Source organism: Homo sapiens, chromosome 15 (assembly GCF_000001405.40).
Source record: "Homo sapiens chromosome 15, GRCh38.p14 Primary Assembly".
Taxonomy (NCBI): domain Eukaryota; kingdom Metazoa; phylum Chordata; class Mammalia; order Primates; family Hominidae; genus Homo; species Homo sapiens.
This window is the reverse complement of record NC_000015.10, coordinates 49,272,478-49,291,401: the sequence shown is the minus strand read 5'-3', so window position 1 is coordinate 49,291,401 and position 18,924 is coordinate 49,272,478. Positions and strand designations below refer to the sequence as shown.

General features: G+C 39.9%; 1 protein-coding gene across 18 annotated transcripts in view; it reads right to left on the bottom strand.

The window, feature by feature from the left end:
- GALK2 (galactokinase 2) overlaps nucleotides 1–18,924 on the bottom strand; it is a 211,967-nt gene that overhangs the window by 76,339 nt on the left and 116,704 nt on the right. For 16 of the 18 annotated variants that reach the window (NR_147895.2, NM_001001556.3, NM_001352048.2 and 13 more), the window contains 2 exons: nucleotides 9,317–9,415; nucleotides 7,684–7,836 (listed from right to left, as the gene is read on the bottom strand). The exons of 1 other annotated variant lie outside the window; for it this stretch is intronic. Coding sequence is in view for 16 of the 17 variants with exons in the window: in NM_001001556.3 (NP_001001556.1) it covers nucleotides 7,684–7,836; nucleotides 9,317–9,415 (252 nt within the window). In the remaining variant the exon portion in view is untranslated. The remainder of the gene's footprint in view (nucleotides 1–7,683; nucleotides 7,837–9,316; nucleotides 9,416–18,924) is intronic. One more of the 18 variants, XM_024449894.2, reaches the window with a different exon arrangement.

Sequence of the window (18,924 nt, the reverse complement as noted above, 5' to 3'; positions counted from 1 at the left end):
AAGCGGGGTTTACCAAAAGACTATTGTACTCTGGTTACAGCCACTGACTTCTGAAGAATGTTAATAACAGAAGTTCTTATATTAATTTAATCCTCTTTTTAAAACCCTGGCTCGTATATTTGAAATGAGTTAATGATTTTAAGGCCAAACTGGGAAACAAAACAATAGAACTATGATTTTCGGTTCAATTATTTCATGGAACATGGTGTCATTTAAAACAAAAAACAAAAAGCAAAAAAAAAAAATGGCGAAACCTTGTCTCTACTAAAAATACAAAAATTAGCTGGGCGTGGTGGCATGTGCCTGACATCCCAGCTACTCAGGAGGCTGAGGAATGAAAATTGCTTGAACCCAGGAGGCAGAGGTTGCAGTGAGCGGAAGTCATGCCACTGTGCTCCGGCCTGGGTGATGAAGTGAGACTCGGTCTCAAAAAAACAAAACAAAACAAAAAAACAAAGTAACTCAACTAGTTAATAACAGAGTTGGAAACTGAATCCAGGTCTTATAACTCTTTCTTGCTGCCCCTAGGCCACGTTCTCAATGAGGTATGCATGATAACTATATCATGTTACCCACATGAATTAAAATCACCGATCAAGTCTTAGAAACGCATTTCAAAACACAAACCTAGATCTGTGCTAGAAGTGAACATTCCAGTAATTTAAAAACACTTTGATAAATGGGTTCCTTCCAAACAAAAAAAGAAAAACATCACAGAACTGCCCCCAAGAGATGACAGTGGGCTCTTCCTAAGAAGCTTTCAGTCCACAGTAATCTCCAAGTTCCCATTCCCATTCTCTCTTGAACCAGTCACATTGCCCCAGGCACTTGATCCAAGAAAACTGGGCCAGTGATGTGTGGGGAGAAAGTCTGCAAGGGATGGCTACAGCCCACAAGATTCAGTTTTCAAAGGCAGCCTCCTGATGTGCTCTTCTGCAGATTGAGGCACTAACATAGAGTTCACATTCACTCCAGCAATATCCCACTTTACTGTGACACCAGTTGTCCAGTGAGCCCTCAGCTGGAGAATCCACACAGCCAATTTGGTGTGTATTTCAATTAAGGATGAAATCTACCATATGCCCTCAATGACAGCTGCACAGCCCGTGAGCTGTTGAATTACACTACATTGAGGGAGTCAAATAGAAAAGCCTCTTAAGCCCTTTGAAATTTGGCTTGAAAAACAGAAAGATGACTTTCAGATGAAGGAAATGGGTGGATAAGATCACCATTGTTCAAAGACAGAGCTTCATGGAGGCACTTGTGGCCCAGGTGACTGGCCTCCTTCACATTTGTGAAGCAGGGCTATAAGTCAGGGCTATAGGTTATTTTGTCACAACTTTCTCACTCAGTAGTAGGGTGGGGAAATAAGAGAAGGCAGTTCTTTGTCCACATTCACCACTTTCTTTTCACCATGGCAAACATTAAGTATTCCTATCAGATACCACTTCTGAGAGGTTCCTGAGCTCTGTTCCATGCTCTGTGGACAAAAAAGCAGGCAACAAGTGCTTTGTCCACAGTCATGGAAAGAGGCACTGATAAATGGTGCTAAAACTCTGTTTTAGGTTGGTTTCTCTCAGACGCAGGCCCTGTGACAAAAATTTGAGGGTAAGAATTTGAGGGGAAGGTGATCCTAAGAAGCATTAAGAGAGGAATGGAAAGTGAAACAGGAAAAGACGCCAATATGAGGTGTACTGATATTGGCAGGTGAGTCTGGGCCCGCTGAGCTTCAAATCACAGGTTCTCAGGAACCTGTATGTGTAAAGCTCAGTCATGTCCCACCATGGGCAAGAAAGCCAAAGTATTTACCCAATAACTCCCAGTTACCACTGATTGAGGTGGCTCTCAAGGATATTAACTCCCTAGCACTTTCAGGTTGTCCCAGACACAAACAAAAATACTAAGCCCTCTGTTCTTGGTCTGAGACTCCCTGGGTCTTCTGGTAAGAGGGTATGGTAGAGAAAGTGTTAAGATATTCATGAAGAATTCTCATCATCTCCTACTTTTTAGTCAACTTCTAGTCCATCCTGCCTTCTCAAAACCTATCAATGGCAGCACTATGCTTTTCACCAACCATTGCACCTTGAAGCTGCAGCCCTTATTGACTCAACACCTTTTCTTCATTTCCTTCATTCATGTGCATCTGCTCACAGTGAGTGTCTACTGAGTGCCTATTACTTCCCAGGCTCCAGGCAGACAGCAGTGAGTAAGGCACACATGGCTCCTGACCACGTGCAGCTCACAGCCCACCAGAAAAGACAGAGGTTAAATTAAAACTACATTTATCATAAAGAACTTAATCCAATTATGATAAACTGCTATAATAGAAAAATACAGGACATGGTAAGAGCACATAAAAGAGTGTTTCACCTAACTGAGGTCAGGAGGTAGTCAAGGAAAACTTCCTCAAAGTAATGAAGTATATGCCAGAAGGAAAACAAAAATCCAATCACAGAGAGCCTGTACCCAACCCTTACTAGGTCCAGTCAGAGCTTCTCTCACATCTCTCCCTTTTTATCCCATCCTCACTGATACTCTAGTACCTACTTCTCTTCAACCAAGGCAAAAGCTCCTGCTGTCATATTAATATTTCTAAAATACCTTGCTAACAACCACTGCTTTCAAAGCCAAGCCTGGGTAAGGCTGAGCATAGCACTGAAGGTCCTGCCACAATCTGGTTCCACTAAACACATTACCCCTATTCCCCAGTATGTATGTCCTCTGCCATGCAGCTCGGACTCACCATTGCCTGAATACTCCATGCCAGAGTCTTGGCAGAGTATGCACTATTGAATCAACTGGCTGCGTGAAATTGGCTACATTCTTGAGTATTTGGTTTTTCTCTGCTCAAATTCAAGGAAACTGCCAAAACCCTGAGACTATTATGCCAACTTCTCCTCCCATTCTATCACCAGACAAAGAATAAGTTTCATACCAACTACTAAATGAAAGGAGCTGAAAAACTGGGTGACTGATGGCCCCTGACCAGACAGGCCCTGTAAAGAATCACTGTAAATTTTCCTTGAAGTGTCAAAGGAACATATGAAACTCTCTCTTTCACTGCTTCTCATGTTGCCACAAGGAGCTCAGGGTATGCAAAAAGCAACAGTATAATTTCTCTTCCCTACCTGACTTCCCATAATACTTATCATGGGTATCACACATTTTATTCTTCAACATAACTAAGGGATACTGTATAAGAAAAGCACTTCTGGAAACATTTAAGCCCCAAATGTGTGTAAAATATGAAAAATGTTGTACCTACTAAAGATCCTTGGCTACTTTATCATAAAAATGTGCTTCATTAAGATATCATTTATACAAGTAGTAATTATAAATCTCGAGTTTGCTTTGAAAAATTTTTAATTTTAGTCAAATGCTCTACAAGGCTCTGACTTTTTATGAATTTGCATGAATTAGCTTTTGAAAGCTGATGGAGAGAAAGAGACAGAGACAGAGAAACAAGATGAGAAAGAAGTTGAGAATAGAAGAAATTGCTAGCATTAATGCAAAACAAAGAAAAATTGTCTTTACTGGTTTAGTGTACTTCTCTGTGTTAACTTGATTAAAAAAAGGTACTCATTTTCAAAAAAGGATCTGAGAAAAATAGGAAGAAAGGAAAAATAAATGTTCTTCATTACAACTTTGCCATGTGGAGCCCTAGCTGATCAGTCTCAGTCTCATTTTCAAAACTATCTTGATTAGCCATTCTTCAACTGACACTTCATTATTGTTGTTGGAAAACAGAAAGTTTGGTCAGATTGAGATAAGCTTTTTTTTAAACTTTTTACATGAGAGGTTATTTATTTAATGAGACCATCTTCAAACAATAATTATATTCATTCACATGTTGCCAAAAATGGAAGAATAGAACCATATTGCAAAGAAAATATGCTTAGTAGAATTCCAGCCTATATTCCTAAGCAAAAGCATATTCCTAATATCAATATCTCTGAGTAAAGTGCACATTAGCAGTTTTATCTTCATTTCCCTTTTGTATAAAACCTGGGATTTTAGTGATTTGCAGCAACATGATTTAGAAAACATTTTCCATCTTGATAAAGTCTTTCATTTTTCTTTCTTCCACATTTTAAAAGAGAAAAATTCAGAGTATTTAAAACAGTGTGTTTATCTACGTCAATTGGGAGGAGTGTGTAGCAAAAAGCCAAATTCAGATGCCAATTTTGCTGACCAAAGTACCTCTAAAATGCATATGGGGTTACGCAGTTAAACTGAGAAAACATCCTCAAGAACAGGAGGTTCTGCAGTGGATTAAGATCTTCAGCTACTACTGCTTCCAAAGGAGATGCCCTTTTTCTAGTTAACTCTCAAAAAACATTCCCACATCCCAATAACTTTTACTACAGAGACTCAGCACTACAATTTTATCCATCATTTTCTTCTTGTATCTTTGGGAGAGTAGTCACAACATGAACTGATTTTACATGTCTAATACTTGTTTCAGCTCACCTATGGATCTGGTAGAGGATATCTAATTTCGTGATAAAACTTTGAAAACAATGTTGTGTATGTTTGAGGTCTCCTTAGGAAGGCAACACTTACTCATCAACCTCAAGATAAAAGGTCAACAAGACTAAGCCCTCAAACAAATAAGACACTAATTTCTTCCATCTCCTGAAAAAGGAAGTGTGTCGTAAAAGAAAAAAAGTTCATTGAACCCTTGATATTAAAAAGTTTACAGAACTGTTTCTCTGCACATATGCACTGATCAAATACTATGAAGAGTTCAATGTTAAAGCACTTCTATTACATTATTTTTAGACACTATCTTAATAAGTAAATTAAAAATTCAAAACATTTAAATCATAATTTTTCAAAAAATGTATGCCCCCCAAATATTCCAGAAACAAAAAGCTTTTATTTTCCTCGTTCAGTATATCTCTAATTTCCTGAATTTCCCAACCTCAGAGGATAGAAGTAAGAGGAGAAGTGCTAAGTCAGTAACAAGGGAAAACTATACTTTACACACCTCCACAGGATCTAGGCCAGTGCTAAGCATACAATAGGTACTTGTAAAAAACTGTGAAATTGTGCAAAATAAACTACAGAGCAGGTGATACAGGGAGTTGTCATTCATCTATTGAACAAATGTTTATCCTGTGTCTCTTCAGCTTAAGCATCACATCAAGCATTAGGGATATAAGAGTTAACAAGACAAACACAGCCTCAGCTCTCAGGTAAAACTGAATCTGAAAGAAGAGACAGACATTAAATAAATGATTGTGATAAGTGCCATAACTGAAAAATGAAGTGCTTCAAAATATAAAGGGGGCTCTAACTTAGTCTAGGAGTAAGGAAGTCAGGGAAGGCTTCCTTGAGGGACATTTAGACTAAGACTTCAAAGAGGGCTGAAGGAAGAATGTCCTGGGCAGGTGCAAAGTCTCTGAGATGAGAATGAGTCTCATGGCTGGAGTGTAAGGAAAGCAGGTGATGCTAAGAGATGAAGAGGATGAGGTGCACAGGTCTCAGATATGGTGGCTCTCCAGGTCGTGATATGGACCTTTTACTTTATTCCAACGAAATAGGAAGCTTTTGAAAGGTATTAAGCAGGGGAATTTAAATTGCTCAGATTTAAATTTCTAAGCCGTCATGCTGTTATTTAAAGAATGATTGGGAAAGAGATGAGCATGAATTTAAGGAACAGTGAGAAGGCTAATGTGATAGTCAATAAGTGATGATGGGACCGATGGAAAAATATAAGGTCTGTGAAAGACTGAGTTCAATTTCAACATGCTCAGTTTGAGAGGTCTATGATTCATTCAAGTAAAGATGGTCAATAAGGCATGGGATATAGAGGTTTGGAGCTCAACCAAGAAAGCCTTAGTTGAAGATGTTTATTAGGAAGTCATCATCATAGAGATGGAAGTTGAAGCTGAGGGCATGAGACCAACAGAAGAAAGACCACTAGAAAGAAGAAGACGACCAAGGCCAAGGCCTTGAAGAACACCAACATTTAAACATCTGTGGGAGGAGGAGTGAATTCCTGCCATCCCTTCATCCCTGCCCAGGGTGGGTCGGTGGAGGGAATGGCTAAAACTAAAAAGAAATAGCAACAAAAATATAAGGGGGAAAAGAAAAAACAGGAAGTGAAGTATACTGGAAACCTAAGGAAGAGAATATTTCAAGAGGGAAAGACTGGTTAACTCTGTTGAAAGATAAGAAATAACAATGAGAAATAAGATGAAGACTGAAAAGCATCCACTGGATTTACCAATGAAAAAACCTTTGGTGGCCTAAGAAAGAGCAAATTCAACATTGTGGAGAACGCAGAAGTGAGATTTTAGTAAATTAAGGAATAAGAGGGAGGTAGAGGAGTAAAGATAACATATATAAAGCAATTTTTGAGAAGTTTAGCTGTGAAGAGAATGAAAAAGTAGAAATAGAAATAGTAGATGGAGAGAGTTGTGAGGCTTAGGGTAGACTTTTCTAATACAAAATACTAGAATAGGTGGAGTCTGATAGAAAGGATTTAGTAGAGAAATAGAGGCGAGGAACAAGTTAAAGATGGAGTGAGTTCCCTGCAGCCACACATGGAAGGGCTGGCTTTGACAGGAGATGCAGATATAGAGAGACATACAGATATGATGACAGGAAGCCAAAGTCTATGTGACCACATCTATTTCCAACATGAAATATGGGAGAAAATCACTTTTGGAAGTTAGGCTGAATCAAGTAATGGGTATTTGAGAGAAGTAAAGAAGGTATGAAATTATTACTACTGAGAAAATAGATTTCAGGCTGTATTTAAGACCTGGTAAAGGTTGATCATAAGTCTTAGGTGATATCCATCAGTATCCATCAGGAGATCAAAGCAAGAGTGGAAGAAAGCACAGTGGAGCTCCTGACCCAGAATCCACTTCCTAGCCTCCAGCCTCAGTCCTCTCTCCAACTTTCTAGTCGTATTATGAGCTATTCTGGATTATTTATAATATTTAATTACTGTGTCACTTGTTGGATCACTGGATTACTTACTATCTGATCACATATTAACCATTTCCTGTTTCATAATCCCTTAACTTGAACTCTTAACTCTACTGTCCACTCTCTCTAGTCCCATGTCCTATGTCCCTTTGTATATCTTCATGCCGCTAGAACTACAATAGCTAGTCAATGAATACTACCTAAATAGATTTAAGGTTTAACTGTGGCAGTTTTCTAAAGAGAGACTTCCAAGACTCCCTGCTGGTTTGTGTTTCCCTAGTAGACATGTAAAAATCTTCTTTCTGGGTACGGGGTCTGGGGGGACTTCACCAATCCTGTATTTTTGGAGTAACGAATGATAACCCAATAAAAAAACTGCATCTTAGAGGACCAGGAGGGGTGAGGCTGCCATCACTTTTGTTGAGGAAACAAGACCAGCTGTGGTCATTCCCATCAATTGTCCCCAACTATCTTTCTCCACCCATAGACCTAACCTATAATTCTGCTTCACATATATAAGCTGCCCTTTTCTTCCCAGTGCCACCCCAGAAGACTCAACTGGTTCATCTGTCTTCTGAGTTAGAAATCAGATTTCTCTGTACCCAAAGACCTTCAGTTGGAATGCTGTGCAGTCAGAATGTTGCCCTAAAATTTGGGGAAAGAGATAAAGTAATAGAGAACAATGAAAATAAAGACAAGAAAAACCCTACTTCAAGTTTCACTAGCCTGCCAAGTTCATACCTTCGCAGCCAGCCGACACTCCATCACCCTGATATTGAAATGGGAAGTTGCTGCCTTATTCATCTCCACACAACTGTTGGCAATCACAAACACTGCTCCACTTGGGAGTTTTACATCGGTTGCCCTCAGAGGACTAAATTCTATCAACTTGGCCTGTTAGAAGAAAAATGAAAGGAGAAATATAATTTATTAGAATGCAGAAAATGTTCAAGTGTTTATGTATTTATCTTAAAGTGTTTTGTCAAAAATGCATTCATTCATTCAAATATTACTTATTGACCTCCAGGCGCTGTACTAGGCACTGGAAATACAACAGTGAACAGGAAAGACACTGTCATTCCTCTCATAGAGCCCGCAATCAAGTGGGAAAGACAGTCTAGTAGACAGACAAATACCTTTCCAAGTTGTGTTACAATGGTAGCAAAGCACAGATGCTATATGGATACATAGCTGAAGCATCTCATCAGTACAGCCTACTGTAGGTTCCACTCAGTTGAAAAAGAGAAATCTAAACTGAGTTCTAAAAGATGAAAAAAGTAGGGCAGACAGAGGGTTTCTTTCCTCAAAAAGCATGTCAAGAAGAGGGAAGAACTTAGGCAAGTCCAGGGGCAAAAAACAACATGGAATGTTAATGGAGCTACGGGCATGGAAATTTGGTTAGAGCTTACAGTTTGAGGGGTGAGAAGTGGTGAGAGGTTAGGATAGAAGGGTAAAGCAGGGGTCAGATGGTGAAGTGTTTTGTAAGCCCAAAGAACTTAGACTGTGTTCAGACTCTATAGCTAACTTACATTAACATCAGGACTCTGGCCCTCATGTCTGCCTGTTGCGTCTCATCCAAAACACCCAAAGTATTTTCTTAGTATTAAAACAAATTTCCTCATGCCTCATGTCTTTGGCTTAGGGGAATCAATAACAAATATTCTTACTAAGAAGGAATCCAGGTGTTCTTGGAAAATAGCCAAGCCTGTAGGAATCTGATGAAAAACTAAGAAAATGTTTTAAAGAAATGTTTGCTCTATTTTGGAAATGAGCAGCTTATGAGCAACAACTAAAACCTCTGCTCTGCCTAAAGGAGTTGATAGCCAAGGGGAAGCGGTATCCAGCTAAGGAATTCATTCCTGGCTTACTGGCAACATTCTTTTTCCCACCACTGAAGCCCCAAAAATGTTGACAGGAAAAATGATACCAAAGAGTAAATTATAAAAAGAGGGACTGTGAATATATGTGGTAAGAGAACTATGATTTGGGTTTAAAACCAACAAGAGATTATAAAAATGCATGAGATGAAGTGATTTAGGATAGGAGCAGGAAATGAGGTTCCAATAACTAGGGAATTGAGAAAGCTCATCTTAACAATGAAGAAAAATAGAAGAGGGGAAAAAGCTAGACACATGAGAAAAACAGACCTGAGTATCATTCTGGAAGCGTAAGAGAAAGGCAATCAACATGAAATAGAGTAGATTAACTGGTGGCAGCCTTGAGTTACAAGCAGTTGGGAAATAATATCCTACAATAGAGCCTAATATAGTAGGCTGTCCATAACCAAGCATCCTGGGGCTCTCAGGGCCTTCTTCTCCATGTAAATTTTCCCACTAGGAATTTCTGAATGGTTCCTACTTGGAATGCTACCTACAGTTCCTTCTTCTGCAAGAAATGATATAGACTGGTCCATGCCTCCTCCTTCAGTGCCAATGTAACGCTCACTCTTGGCACAGATTTCTGCAAGTTCCACCTGGAAAGGTAAAAACTGATTTGTACTGTGAGTAGTCATAACCCATTTCTCATTCATTTCTTACTACAGGCATGACAAACAGGTTTGAATTCCAGCACCAACTCTGATCAACTAATAGTAGCCTGCCTGGAGCACTGCATTAAAAAGGGCTCCAGACTATAGGAAAATATACCAAAATCAATTAACAATGTCTGCTATGGGTATGGAATAAGATATTGACCGTGCACACTATGTTTTCGCCATCCCTAATAGTCTCCACAGAGCAAGCAGTTTCTACCATCTTTCTATTTACTCTATCCTTCCCTAGACTGGTATCACTGAAAATCTCATATGGGCAATCATTCATTTTTGCCTCAGCTTCCTTTGTCTCCCAACAGTGAACTACTATTCCACAGTCTACCCATAACCAAAGTGGGGTCATTAAACTTTATTTTCCTGTCCAAAAGTAATGAAGTCTCTCTGGCATTTCCATTAAATGTAAGAATCAGAACTGGTGTCATCTCATCAGGCTCATCTTCCTCCAACCAAGATGTTCTAACCCAAACTGAAAATCTTGAAATATCTGTTTAAGAATCTTTAATGGCTTCCTATTGATTAAGAAATAAATCTAAACGCCTCAACCAGGCATTTCGAAGGCTTCCAAAATCTGGGACCATTATGCATACGAAATTGTATCATTTACCATTCTTATCCAGTTAGATTTGTCTCTTTGACCACTTCACACATGTTTATGCAACTTGGTATTACTTCCTGTCTTCTGTCCTGTATAAATTGTACTTTTGTCCAATATCCAGTTTATTGGCTAGCTACTATAGATAAATCCCTGGGCTGACCACTCAAATCTTTCTTCATGGCCCAGCACTGTGGCTTACGCCTGTAATCCCAGCACTTTGGGAGGCCGAGGTGGGCGGATCACGAGGTCAAGAGATCAAGACCATCCTGGCCAACATGGCGAAACCCCATCTCTACTAAAAATACAAAAATTAGCTGGGCATTGTGGTGCATGCCCGTAGTCACAGCTACTCAGGAGGCTGAGGCAGGAGAGTCTCTTGAACCTGGGCAGCGGAGGTTGCAGTGAGCCGAGGTTGCACCACTGCACTCCAGCCTGGTGACAGAGTAAGACCCCTTCTCAAAAAAAAATAAAAAAATAAAAAATCTTTCTTCATCATGGAGTCTTCTTCGAATATTATTCCCATCATGGTGTCCCCTTTTTCTAAACTCCTAAAACATTTAAGTTAGTATCGTCTAATACTCACACTACTATTCATTCATTCATCTATTCAGTTTAATTTATTGTAAGACTTTATTCGGGCCCTTATTTCTGTTTTACTATATGATGTTTCTAGAATAATTATTCTGAAAAACTGATATAATCATCTCTTGCCTGCTTGGTTGCCAACACCTTAATGCTCATACTCTACAGCATGGTACACAAGGTCTTTAATGACTTAACCCTAGTGCACTTCTCCAGCCTGCTCTCCCACCACTCCTCCTGTAAATCCTAAGCTCCAGCCATGAGGGATACTAAACAAATGCTGTTCTTTACTACCGCAGGCTCTTTCACATCTCATTGTCTTTACAAATATGATTTTCCATTCTCTTCACTCAATACTCCCCACCGCATTCCCAACTAGTCAACAATTCAAGCAGCACCTTGCCGTGGAACCTGCACCACCACCCATATGCATACATACCACATAACTCCTCCTCAGCACTCCCTGTTAATAACTCTATTATCATGTATTGAATATGCTTTAAGTGTGGCTCTACTTGTCTTTTTATCTACATGTCTGTGAATCACAGTGTTATTATTGCTCCTTAATTGTTAATTGTTTCATGTTTCTATCACATCTGTTTCTTGTGAGAGATGAATAAAGTATGGTGTTTCTTTTGTGTCCCCTACTTCACATAATGCCGAACACATAGTAAATATTAATAAACACCTGCTGCTTTCAATTTCTGAGAATAGCTGCCCAAACACCATCTGACAGATTCTGCAAGTGTCATATTCCTTGTTGGTCATGTGGATTCACTAACATTAACTTTTGTCTTGTGACATGAGGTAAACTTAGGATTTTGATGCAATAGGCATTGTTCATAGTCTGCTGACACACAGAGCCAGTGTCCATAATATGTACATTAAAAATAAATTAGTAACCAAAAGATCAAAACACTTGGATTTAAAATGTAGAGAAACAACATACCCAGATGAAGCAGTACATTCATCATTATGTAAGAGATGATGGAACCTGGGTGCCCAACTAACTGTGACCCTGGGCCAGTGTAAAAAGTCCCCTCCCCTCAACAGCAATAACAGCCACATTTACTGAGTCACAGTATGTGGTAAGTATACTAAGTACCTTGCATTATTTCTTTTGTAAGCATTATCTCCTTCAAACCTCCAAACAAAGTTCTGCTTATCCCCATTATAGACATGAGAAAAATGAGGTTTAGAGATATATAACCAGAAGTGGAAGTGCCAGGATTTGAACCTCACCTGACTCCAAAGCCTGTATTCTTTTCTCACTGGACTTCAACCAGTCCCTGCAAAATGGAGATGATGTAATCTATTTTTCACTACCTCAAAGGGATATGAAAAGACAAATGAGATTCACCAAAATTTAAGTATCCTCCCTCTTAAGAGGAAAAAACCAGAACATTGAGAAGTTTGAGAAATTTATGCTTATTAATTATTTTTTCCATGTATTCATATTCTATTAACAATGCTAATAGTTTTAGTAGTTAAGGTTTATTGAGCACTTATTATGTGCTAGGTAGTGTTCTAATTGCTTTGCCTGAATTATTTATTTCTCACACAACCCTACTGATATGGTTTGGCTGTGTCCCCACCCAAAAGCTCATCTTGAATTGTAATCCCCATAATCCCTACGTGTCAAGGGCAGGACCAGGTGGAGGTAATTGGATCACAGGGTTGGTTTCCCTCATGCTGTTCTCATGATAGTGAGTGAGTCTCGGGAGATCTGATGATTTTATAAGTGTCTGGCATTTCCCCTGCCTGCACTCACTCCGCCCTGCCGCCCTGTGAAGAAAGTACCTGCTTCTCCTTTGCCTTCTGCCATGATTGTAAGTTTCCTGAGGCTGCCCCAGCAATGTGGAACTGTGAGTCAATTACATCTCTTTCCTTTAAAAATTACCCAGTATCAAGTATTTCTTCACAGCAGTGTGATAACGGACTAATACACCTATAAAATAGGTCTCTGTGGCTTACAGATTAGGAAACTGAGTGGGTTTATTAGCTGAGACTAGGCTAGTAATTATTAAAGATATAATCCAAACTCAAATGATCTGACTCCAGCACCCATAATCTTAACCACCACCATATATTACCTCCTATCCATAATAAGGAGAAAAATACCCACCTCCCTAGCCACAGGATTATTGTAATGATCCAAGAAACTAAAGTTTAAAACTTCAAATAAAAGCACCTTATAGTGCTCTAAAGTACTACACAGTTGGTGTTATCTTTACATGATGAATAAGGAATCATCTGATTTACATAAAAAAGCAGCCAAGTCCCAAGCCAAATGTAAAGACAAGTTATAATTACTATAGAATACAAGACCATTTTTTAAGTGTTCAGGGAAAGAGAATTTAAAGAATCTGGATTCCTCTAAAACAGCCAATTCAACATTAAGGAGTAATGAAGCCTGAGGCAAACAGGAAAATATATGTCCAATTGTGTTTTATTTTTGTTTTTGTTTTTTTGAGTCAGTGTCTAGCTCTGTCGCCCGGGCTGGAGTACAGTGGTGCGATCTCGGCTCACTGCAAGCTCCGCCTCCCGGGTTCACGCCATTCTCCTGCCTCAGCCTCCCCAGTAGCTGGGACTACAGGCGCCCGCCACCACGCCAGGCTAATTTTTGTATTTTTAGTAGAGACGGGGTTTCACCGTGTTAGCCAGGATGGTCTTGATCTCCTGACCTCGTGATCTGCCCGCCTCGGCCTCCCAAAGTGCTGGGATTACAGGCGTGAGCCACCGCACCCAGCCCTATGCCCGATTTAAAGCATTTGGGTCTACTTACAGGGGCAGGGAGTCTCTACTCACAAAATAAAACATGCCTGTAGTAAAATATTCAACTGCAGGCCCACCAGCTGGTTTCCCCAGCGGCCCTACCTCTTCACCCCAGTACCATAAGCAGAAAGGTCAAATCCTTTTTTGTTTGTTCGTTTGTTTGAGACGGAGTCTCACTCTGTCCGCAGGCTGGAGTGCAGTGGCTCAATCTCGGCTCACTGCAAGCTCCGCCTCCCGGGTTCACGCCATTCTCCTGCCTCAGCCACCCGAGTAGCTGGGACTACAGGCGCCCGCCAACACGCCCGGCTAATTTTTGTATTTTTAGTAGAGACGGGGTTTCACTGTGTTAGCCAGGATGGTCTCAATCTCCTGACCTCGTGATCCGCCCGCCTCGGCCTCCCAAAGTGCTGGGATAACAGGCGTGAGCCACCGCGCCCGGCCAGAAAGGTCAAATCCTAAATGGTTATGATATATAAAGAAACTAGAAACAGCTGGGTGCGGTGGCTCACGCCTGTCATCCCAGCACTTTGGGAGGCCGAGGCGGGCGGATCACGAGGTCAGGAGATCGAGACCATCCCGGCTAAAACGGTGAAACCCCGTCTCTACTAAAAATACAAAAAATTAGCCGGGCGTAGTGGCGGGCGCCTGTAGTCCCAGCTACTTGGGAGGCTGAGGCAGGAGAATGGCGTGAACCCGGGAGGCGGAGCTTGCAGTGAGCCGAGATCCCGCCACTGCACTCCAGCCTGGGCGACAGAGCGAGACTCCGTCTCAAAAAAAAAAAAAAAAAAAAAAAAAAAAAAAAAAAAAAAAAAAAAAAAATACAAAAATTAGCCGGGCGTGTTGGCGGGCGCCCTACTCGAGTGGCTGAGGCAGGAGAATGGCGTGAACCCAGGAGGCGGAGCTTGCAGTGAGCCGAGATTGCGCCACTGCACTCCAGCCTGCAGGCGGGACAGAGCGAGACTCTGTCTCAAAAAAAAAAAAAAAAAGAAAAGAAAAAAAGAAACTAGAAACAAAAGGTTAAAAAAACAAAAACCAAAAAAAAAAAAAAAAAACCTCAGATTCTATTAAGAAAAAAGCTTGCATTCTTCTGATGGTAAACAAAAATTAGGCCCACAGAAATCAAAGAAATAATAAATAATTAATAAATAAATTAGCTAGGCCCATGGCCTAAGCCAGAGATAGCATGACCTGAACTCAGAGAACCATTAATGAAGGGATCTGGTGCCTTAACAGCACTACACTGTAAAAGGAAGCAGAGAATGCTGTCATTATGGATGATGTGAGGGAGACATGTGAGTGAGTCTATTCATGCTTTTTCTGTCTGTCCTTTGGGACACTGAAAATAGAACCATAAAATGTCCTCCAAGGATTATAATCAGACAGAGTGACTTGCAAAGACACTGAATCAATACTCCATACCTACTTAAATTATGTAAAATCTCAATAGATTTCATGAGAATAAGGAGTAGCTATCAAAAGAACATTATCAAAAGCATAAAGAAAAGAAGCATACTGGAAGCTAACTTCATGGATAGATCAAAATGAATTCAGGAACACCATTCTCTTTAGCAAAGGACAAAGGCATATTTCTACCTGATGGCTAAGTGATTCTAAGGCTTTTCCACTGTACCCCACAAACACAAACACACAACCTGAAAACCCTCAAGCTAGATCAGCAAAGCTCTAATGAAGAAGGGGTTCACTCCCGTCTCTACCATGTATTTTCTTTTGCTCTTACACTTGAGCACCACAAGAAACCCAGGGACTTCCAAACTAGTCACTTGTGACATTTTGCTCTCTATCCCTTCTTTCAAAACCCTAATGACTGAGAATCATTAGGGAAGACAATTTGACTGCATGGGAAACTTTGCCAAAGTGTGTAACCAATAAGCTGGTGTCTATTCAGACTTCTGCCCTCTGGACAGTTAGGAGACACCTGACATTATTTACAGATCTTCTTTTAAAGCTACTAAAGATAGTTAATGAAGCTACTTTAGCCCTTTGTGTGGTTCTCTTGAAGCAGCCTGGGTAGGAAACAAAAGCCTTGTGGGCTTCCTAAATTAAAGTTTATCCATCTGCATGCCAGTGGAACTCCAGGTAAGAGGAGAAATGAAATAACAGGGTTCAATTTAATAGAGAATCTAATTAAATCTAACTGATTAGCACTGAGAAGGGCGAAAGATTCATGAATGTTATGCCTCGCTAAACCTGGATATCCACAAAAAAACAATAATAATAATACAAAAGACTCAAGATATTAATACAGTGACCTGTTTTTGTTTAGCAGTTTTAATAATGAGATTGTTAAAAGCTGAATTACACTGGAAGGAATGTTTCGCTGAGTTAGTTAACCATGCCTATGGGAAGCCTAACTATTCAGAACACAAGGCTCTAACCAAGACAAAATTATACTGTTATAGTCAGCTGCCATAAGTGCAAGTCAAGAGAAAGGAAGGAAATAAACAGACCCATTCATTCATTCAACAATCATTTAAATAGTGACCTAACAGATAAGTGAATAGGCCAGTGTCTGCCCTCAAGGAGCTCACAATATTGATAGTGTCTTTAGGTGAACAAGTCTTCCAAAAGAAAATGTAAACCTGGAGTGACAGCTTCTGTTTGCCTCTCCAGATCTGTCCACTTGCCTTCATCCTGCTATCTGCCCCAGAAGGCTGCCCAGGATGAACTACAGTCATGTGCTGCACAAAAGCATTTTGGAGTGGTCTCATAAGAGTAAAACGGAACTGAACAATTCCTATCACCTAGTGACACCATAGCTCAGAGCTGTTGTAACATCACATTACATTTGTGGTGATGTTGATGTAAACAAACCTACTGCACTGCCAGTCATATAAAAGTGTAGTATGTATGATTATGCACAGTACATAATACTTGGTAATAAATGACTATGCTACTGGTGTACATATTTATTATACTTTTTATCATTATTTTAGAGCATATGTCTTCTACTTATTAAAAAAAAAAGTTAACTGTAAAACAGTCTCAAGACAGGTCTTCGGGAGGTATGCCAGAAGAAGGCACTGTTATCACAGGAGATGACAGCTCCATCCATGTTATTGCCCCTGAAGACCTTCCAGTAGGACAAGAGGTGGAGGTGGAACACAGTGATATTGATGATCCTGACTCTGTTTTAGTTTTTAACAAAAAAACTAAAAGTTTAAAACGTTAAAAAATTAAAAAATTTTAAAAATAGAAAAGAGCTCACAGAATAAGGATATAAAGAAACACTTTGTACAGCTATACAATGTGTTTGTGTTTCAAGCTAAGTGTTATTACAAGAGTCAAAAATTTTTTTTAATTTTAAGTTTATAAAGTAAGAAAGTTACAGCAAGCTAAGGTTAGTTTATTACTGAAGGAAAACATTTTTATATAAATTTAGTGTAGCCTACATGGACAGTGTTGATAAAGTCTACAGTAGTGTACAGTCATGTCCTGCGCCTTCACATTCACTCACCACTCACAGACTCACCCAGAGCAACTGCCAGTCCTGCAAGGTCCATTCATAATAAATGCCCAATATAACTGTATGATTTTTTCTTTTAAACCATATTTTTACTTTACCTTTTTTATGTTTAGCTACACAAATACTTACCATTGTGTTACAACTGCCTATAGTATTCAGTACAGTAATATGCTGTACTGGTTCTATAGCCTAGAAGCAATAGGCTGTACCATATAGACTAGGTGTGTAGTAGGCTACACCATCTAGGTTTGTGTTAGTACACTCTATGATGTTGACACAATGACAAAATCACCTAACAGCACATTTCTCAGTCCATTACCCCATTGTTAAGCAATGCATAATTGTGCATCAACAGGCTCCGGTGCTCTCTGCTTCCCATCAGGTTCTTCTAACAGAGGACTCTGGCAGGAAATGGGGAAGGGAGGGAGAGTAAAGTGATGTCTCTCCCTGTCGAGGGTACCTTCAGGCCCAAGGGCAGCAACAGCACAGCTACAACTAGTCCTGGGTGTCCCCTAAACCCACATCTTTGTAAACAGTCCTAGTGAAATAAACTGTCCTTCAGCATTGAGTGTGCCATCTGTTTTCTGTTACAACCCTGACTGTTTCATCTAGATAAAGTAAAAACATTAATGGCTCCTCTGACTTTACCTCAAATATTTTCTCTATTTTCTCCCTCTATAATCCTTCTCCACCCTAACTTTCAAAATTTCTAGGTTATTACCTGGGGCTATTTTCAAATTCTTCCCCAAGTTGGCAAACATATTAGGTAGAGCCCATCCAGGACAGAGAAGTTCTCCATGAAATGGCACCAAGATAACTCTAAAAGAGACTGAAGCAGACTTGCTTTGTTTTGAAACATGGCTGATGAACAAGCTCTAACTTACAGACACTTTGTAAGGGAAAAAAAAAAAAGCCTGTTCTAATATTTTTTTTTCAAGAAGGAGGCTATTATTTCTTCTTCACATCTCTAACTTAAGAGATGTAATGCAAAGGAATTAGCAACTTTCGCATTTTTTACTTCAAGAAAAGTTGCCTGAGGACAAAGACAGCCAATTCCCAAACTGGGCACAGCAGATGCAAATGACCCTGATGGTTCAGGCTGAAAAGTTCCTGTAAATAATACAGGAAAGAAAGGAAGGAGTTTAAATATCAAAATAAGCAGAAACTAGAAAAAAACAACAACAGTGAGGAGGTTTCTCCAAAGTCAATCTAAGAAATCTGCAAAAATGTAGAAACACCACAGAGTTTGCATTAAGCACTCAGAGTTTGCATTAAGCACTCATGCTTTTTTCACACATAGCTTGTTTTTAGTTCTTAGGGCTGGATATTCGTATGTTCCTATAAAAGCTCAATGGGCTCAGAAAGTGTGTATCACAAAAGGACAACAGTACACTCTTCTATCTGTGTACAGTGGAGAGAACGTGATCTAATGAACCTGGAGAAAGCTAGTAGTTGGGACATGGGGCTCTAAAAATATCTCAGGTGCTCAGTGAGGGCAGAAGCACAGTCTTCCAGTGGCTCCCTCCAGACTTGTCGACAAGAGAAAGACAAAGACCACTTCCTTAACCTAACTGATCTGCAATCCAAGTCACAGAGGGACCCAGATTCTGAGAAGGGACCTTCAACAATCAGGCTGGAGCAAAGTATTTTATTCAAACACTTTGGGATCCTAGGCCCATGGGAATCCTGGGGAAATGTCTATGATAGGTTTCTTCTAGACCTCAACCATCACGGCCTGTACTGCATGAGGAGGAATCTTATTAGTACCTAACAATGTACAACCTTGGATATTTCTCCAGATGATGACTCTGGATGTGCAAATGTGTGTGGTAAAACTGTTAAAATATTAACATGAATCTAAAAGGTAATAATGAGATGCAAAGGGAGAAAAGAGTACAGTATACTCTGCTACTCCAAGTGCAGTCTTCACACGCAGCATTGATGTCACCCGGGAACTGGTTAAACGTGCACAATCTCATGCTCCATCCCAGACCT